This window comes from Homo sapiens, chromosome 14 (assembly GCF_000001405.40).
Source record: "Homo sapiens chromosome 14, GRCh38.p14 Primary Assembly".
Lineage (NCBI taxonomy): Eukaryota > Metazoa > Chordata > Mammalia > Primates > Hominidae > Homo > Homo sapiens.
This window is the reverse complement of record NC_000014.9, coordinates 64674702-64680862: the sequence shown is the minus strand read 5'-3', so window position 1 is coordinate 64680862 and position 6161 is coordinate 64674702. Positions and strand designations below refer to the sequence as shown.

General features: G+C 50.3%; 3 annotated features.

Moving 5' to 3' along the window:
• Positions 355 to 899: an enhancer, noted in NCBI's record as "H3K27ac-H3K4me1 hESC enhancer chr14:65146682-65147226 (GRCh37/hg19 assembly coordinates)". NCBI's record gives its function as "activates a minimal SCP1, AML or CMV promoter by ChIP-STARR-seq in primed H9 embryonic stem cells {active_cell/tissue: H9 hESC(primed)}" and the evidence as "EXISTENCE:reporter gene assay evidence [ECO:0000049][PMID:30033119]".
• Positions 4476 to 4976: an enhancer, noted in NCBI's record as "H3K4me1 hESC enhancer chr14:65142605-65143105 (GRCh37/hg19 assembly coordinates)". NCBI's record gives its function as "activates a minimal SCP1, AML or CMV promoter by ChIP-STARR-seq in primed H9 embryonic stem cells {active_cell/tissue: H9 hESC(primed)}" and the evidence as "EXISTENCE:reporter gene assay evidence [ECO:0000049][PMID:30033119]".
• Positions 4977 to 5477: an enhancer, noted in NCBI's record as "H3K4me1 hESC enhancer chr14:65142104-65142604 (GRCh37/hg19 assembly coordinates)". NCBI's record gives its function as "activates a minimal SCP1, AML or CMV promoter by ChIP-STARR-seq in primed H9 embryonic stem cells {active_cell/tissue: H9 hESC(primed)}" and the evidence as "EXISTENCE:reporter gene assay evidence [ECO:0000049][PMID:30033119]".

Below are 6161 nucleotides of genomic sequence, written 5' to 3'. Positions count from 1 at the left end.
CTCAGGGCCTGGAGGACACCCTGCCTGGGATGCTACAGTGTGGCCTCTTGCTTCAGATAAGGGAAGAGCCAGCCCAGATGAGTTCTAATGTCTCTTTTATTTCTGAGATCCAGATCCTGGGCCTGGAACTGCTACAGCCAGAAGGGTTTCTATAAGACACAGAAGCAGGACCCACAGATTTTCGCTGTCTTGGTTTTCAGCATCACAAGACTCTGGCTCCTTTTCTAGATTCAGAGTCTGGCCCCTGGCCTCTGGCCCAGGCTGCCTCCCTCTACCAGTTCCAGGGCTGGGGGCTGGGGCCTCTGAGAGCAAACGGGCGTGTCAGAATGGGGAAAGTGACTGGGGCTGGCATGCAGAGTTGAGAGTCTAGCTAGTGAGCTGGGACTAATGAACCTGAGAAAGAACAGGTCCAAACAGGCCCCAGGGAGGCTTCGGGAGCCAGGGCCCAGGCCACAGAGCTGAACAAATCACCGTGAGTCAAGCCGGGCAGGAGATCACGCTGCCCTGTCCCTGGGCTAGGCTTTCACTCATGCTTCCTGGGATATAAGCATGAGGGCTGGAGGTATAAGCACAGGCCTGCTAGGACTGTGGCTCCATTTAAGGGGCCAGAGAGAGTGAAAACGTGGTGACTACAGTGACAAGTGAGAGTTTACTCATCATTGGATGTACAGAGAAAAGGGAGGACTTGATTTCTTCAGAAGTATCATAAATTGCTACAGGGTTAGGCTGAAGAGCCTAGGCTAAGGTCCTGTGTATCCACCAGAGGGACGCACAGAATTGGGCTCCTCTGGGAGGGGAAGAAGAAAGGAACTCGTGTGTGTTTAGTGCCTGGCACCATGTTGCATGTTTTCTCCAGCTTACACTAAGGTGATGTTGACTATGTGCCAGGCATTGTCCAAGTACCCCACACACTAGTGAAGGAAGCTACGACACAGAGAGGGTTTGTAACCTGTCTGAGGTCACTCATCTGGCAAGGAGTGGAATTCAAACCCAGGTGCCCAGGTATTCTGGCTCCAGAACCAGGCTTTCCCCGCTCTGCTGGCTACTTCTCTAGGGCCCATCTTCATTTCCAGAACAACCACCGGGAAGAGTATCACGACCTCCATTCTTAAAAACGCAAAGCTCAGGCTCAGCGCAGTTAAATGACTTGCCCTCGGTTGTGCCATTAGCCAGCCTCAGAGCCAAGATTCAGCCCTGGGTCCGTGTGACCCCAGTGCTCTTTCTGCCACCCCACACTGAGTCTCCAGGAGGGAATGAGATGAGGATTTATTTAGCACAGCTACTTTTAAAGTCACAACATACAAATTTTGTTTTTAAAGAAACAAAGTGGCTGGGTGTGGTGGCTCACGCCTGTAATCCCAACACTTTGGGAGGCCAAGGTGGGAGATCCCCTGAGGTCAGGAGTTCAAGACCAGCCTGGCCAACATAGCGAAACCCCGTCTCTACTAAAAATACAAAAATTAGCTGGGCATGGTGGCACGTGCCTGTAGTCCTGGCTGCTCGGGAGGCTGAGGCAGGAGAATTGCTTGAACCTGGGAGGTGGAGGTTGCAGTCAGCCTAGATCGCTCCACTGCACTCCAGTCTGGGTGACAGAGTGGGACTCTGTCAAAAAAAAAAAAAAAGAGAGAGAGAGAGAAAGAAAAAGAAAGAAAAGAAAAGGAAAGAAAAGAAAAGGAAATGAAGCAATAAAATCTCTGTGAGAACCCTCGTGTAATCAGGCTAGATGAATTGTCTGGGCTTCAAACAAATCAGCAGTAAAAAGAAGCAAGGCTTTTATTGAAATTGATTCCACGCCATTGTTATTGTAACTTCAGGTGTCAGCTGCTGTTGACATAGACTGCATCATCCCAATGGCATAGGTGAGAGGAACAGGGTTTGACAAAAAGAATCCTTTGTGGAGTTGACCCATTTTCCAGCTTGAGAAAAAGTTCAATCAGCTCTGAGTTAAGTTTCTGCCTCTGGTGTCTTCTCATCATCCCCTGCCCACAGCCTGGTTCCCCACCACTCCCCCTACCTACCTCATCCCTCTCTTGTGTCTAGAGGTCAGAGTGGTAGAAAGAGCTGTGCACTTCGAGTCAAAGGACCAGGTCTAGTTTGTGTGTGTGTGTGGTTTTTTGTATGTTTGTTTGTTTTGTTTTGTTTTGTTTTTTAAGACGGAGTTTTGCTCTTGTTGCCCAGGCTGGAGTGCAATGGCTCAATCTTGGCTCACCACAACCTCCGCCTCCCAGGTTCAAGTGATTCTCCTGCCTCAGCCTCCCGAATAGCTGGGATTACAGGCATGTGCCACCACGCCGGGCTACTTTTGTATTTTTAGTAGAGACGGGGTTTCTCCATATTGGTCAGGCTGGTCACGAACTCACAACCTCAGGTGATCCACCCGCCTCGGCCTCCCAAAGTGCTGGGATTACAGGCGTGAGCCACCATGCCTGGCCTGTTTGTTTTGAAACAGAGCCTCATTCTGTTGCCCAGGCTGGAGAGCACTGGTGCTATCTCAGCCCACTGCAACCTGCACCTCCTAGGTTCAAGTGATTCTCCTGCCTCAGCCTCCCAAGTAGCTGGGACTACAGGCGCTCGCCACCACGCCCGGCTAATTCTTGTAGTTTTAGTAGAGATGGGGTTTCACCATGTTGGCCACGCTGGTCTCAAGCTCCTGACCTCTGGGGATCTTTCCACCTCGACCTCCCAAAGTGCTGGGATTACAGGCATGAGCCGCCGTGCCTGGCCCAGATCTAGTTTTGTCACCAATTAGCTGTGTGAGGTTGAGTGAGTCACTTAACTTCTCTGAGACTCTCTGGAAAGTTGGAACCCAGTGATCTTCAAGGTCTTGACTAGCTCCAGGGCTAGTGCTTGTCGTTATTCATTCAATGGGCTGGCTTGAGTCAGGCATTGTGCTAAATGCTGGGGAAACTGAGGTTACTAGTGCCTATCGCTGGCTCCGAGGAGCTCACAGCCTAGCACTGTGACACAATTCCATGTGACAAGCATCCTAATGGAGGCAAGCTGAGACCATGCTAACCCAAAGCACAGCATTCTTGCTGGGAGGGATCAGAAAGGCCCCAGGGAGAAGGAGATCTCTGTGCTGTATGTCAAATTATAAGAAGGTGATGAGGGACATTGGAACAGGAGGAACAGCATGCACAAAGGCACAGAGCTGTGGACCAGCACAGCACACTAGGCCCCTGCAAGTCATGTGGTGTGGCTGGGGCAGAGGCTGCATGTAAAGGAGAAGGAGTCAAGTCTTCAGAGATGGGCAGGGGCCACATCACACCGGCACAGGGACCTACAGAGGATCGGCAGTCTGACATGTTTGGAAACCACACCAGTGGCAAGAAGGATGAGCAGTGGCAACTTCGGGGGTCAATCAGAAAATCATTCCAAAAGCCAGAAAGACTGAGGGACTCCACTAAGGCAGTAGCAGTGGGCATGGGAGAGAATGCAGAGATAAAAATTGTTCTCATTTAAAGAGGAAGAATGTACAGTGACAGAGTGGGGGCAGAAGTCAAATAAAACAAGGGGTCCCAATTTCTGACAGTGGTGCCTGGGTGGATTAGAAACACAAAAGGATGAAAGGCTTGGGGGAAAAGATAATCAAATGTGTGTTGTATGTCTGAATGGATGAAACTCCTCTAGTTTAGAAAACTTGTATTATTTTAAAGGGCATTTAGAAATGATTACCTTGGCTAGGTGTGGTGGCTCACACCTGTAATCCCAGCAATTCAAGAGGCCGATGTGGGAGGATTGTTTGAGCCCAGGGGTTGGACACCAGCCTGGGCAACATGGTGAAACCCCATCTCTACAAAAAATAGAAAAATTAGCCTGGCATGGTGGCACATGCCTGTAGTCCCAGCTACTCAGGAGGCTAGGTGGGAGGATTATTTGAGCCCAGGAGGTTGAGGCTACAGTGAGCCATGATTGCACCATTGCATTCCAGCCTGGGCGACAGAGCAAGACCCTGTCTTAAGGAAAAAAAAAAAGGCAAAACAAAAACATGACTATCTTATTCTTAAAACCCTACAGTAATGGAGATACTGTTTTGAACCACTTTCAAAACCATTTTCATTATCAGTAAGCCATATGCTGTCATTGCACCACAGGGCTTGTGTCCTAGGGAAGGAGAAAGGTAGATACCTTTCTAGAAAAATCCACAGGGCAGGGAAGAGGGAAAATATGAGGGAAAGGAAGTCTCTGAAAAACAGAAAGAGGAAGTGTGAACCCTCTGGAGCTTGAAAGCGGGTAAGTGGGGATGGACATCAGATGCCAGTGCTCTCTCACCCTTGTCAAACCTTGTCGGTGGCATGTACAACAGTAGAAAAACTCCACAGAGGTCAAGAGCATGTCAGAGACAAAAATGACATATGTTGCTAGGTGTGGTGGCTCAGGCCTGTAATCCCAGCAATTTGGGAGGCCAAGGTAGGAGGACTGCTTGAGCCCAGGAGTTCAAGACCAGTCTGGGCAACATAGTGAGACCTCATCTCTACTAGGAATAAAAAAATTAGCTGGGTGTGGTGGCTTATACCTGTGGTCTCAGCTACTTGGGAGGCTGAGCCTGAAGGATTGCCTGAGCCCAGAAGTTGAGGCTGCAGTGAGCCATGATTGTGCCACTGCACTCCAGACTGTGTAACAGAGTGAGACCCTGTCCCTCCCCACTCCAAAAAACCATGTGTGCCCCACTTTTTTTTTTGAGTTGGAGTCTCGCTCACTCTGTCACCCCAGCTAGAGTGCAGTGGCATGATCTCGGCTCACTGCAACCTCCACCTCCCAGGTTCAAGCAATTCTCCTGCCTCAGCCTCCTGAGTAGCTGGGATTACAGGCGTGTGCCATCACGCCCAGCTAATTTTTGTATTTTTAGTAGAGACAGGGTTTCACCATGTTGGCCAGGCTGGTCTCAAACTCCTGACCTCAAGGGATCCACCCGCCTCGGCCTCCCAAAGTGCTGGGATTACAGGCGCACCCGGCCGTGCCCCACTTTTTGATTGGAGCCCTGGAGCAGTCAGTCGCCTTCCAGCATGTCCTTATGTCCACCTGGAGTGGCTCCAGCAAAGTAGAGACAACAGCAAGGTGTGTTGAAGCTGGGACAGGGACCTTAGGTGTTCCACCCCTTTCACACTGCCCCACCTCAGTTCCCCTTGGCTTGAGTGCGGCTGGGAGAAACCCAGAAGTCCCTAGGAGGCCCTAGGGAATGCACAGGTGATTGAGAGCTGAGAGCCTGTGGACCTGCCTCAGGCTGAAGCCCAGAGATAAATGGAAAGCACTGGGGACATGGGAGGGGTTCCGGTTTGTATCTACAGGACCAGCAAAGCTGGCACAGGACCCACAAGCCGGGTAAACCACCAGGTCCTCCCAGCCAGACCCCTGACTGTGGATGTCAGCAGATGTAAAGGCCACTGAGGACCAGAGGGCAACACAGAGCCCTGCACCCAGAGTTATCCACAGGGTGGGGCTGGGAGCGGGAGAGGCAGGAAGGGGACACACCCAGAGAGGAGGTGACAGTCCAGGCAGGGACTTGGCTGAAATTTTATCCAAGAAGAGGCTGAACTAACTTAATAAAACTAACTAAATAAAACTTAATAAAGCGATTCTCCTGCCTCAGCCTCCTGAGTGGCTGGGATTACAGGCATGCGCCACCATGCCCAGCTAATTTTTGTATTTTTAGTAGAGACAGGGTTTCTGCATGTTGGTCAGGCTGGTCTTGAACTCCCAACCTCAGGTGATCTACCCACCTCGGCCTCCCAAACCTGAGAGGCGGAGGTTGCAGTGAGCCGAGATCACGACGTTGCACACCAGCCTGGGCAACAAGAGCGAAACTGTCTGAAAAAAAAACGTAACTTTCAATGAGTTTTGGCAAATGTGTACAATTGCGTAACTATCACCTCAGTTAAGATAAGGACAATTCCATCACCCCGAAAAGGTTCTTCATACCTTTGTGTAGTCAGTCATGCTCCCCTTACCCCCTCACCGACCTGATGTCCATCTCAGTAATTTGGCCTTTTCCAGAATTTTATATGAATAAAATCATGTAAAATGTAGCTTTTTTTTTTCTTTTTTTTGAGACAAGGTCTCACTCCTGTTGCCCAGGCTGGAGTGTAGTGGCAAGATTTCAGCTCACTGCAACCTTGACTTCCCAGGTTCTTGTGATCCTCCCACTTCAGCCTCCCGAGTAG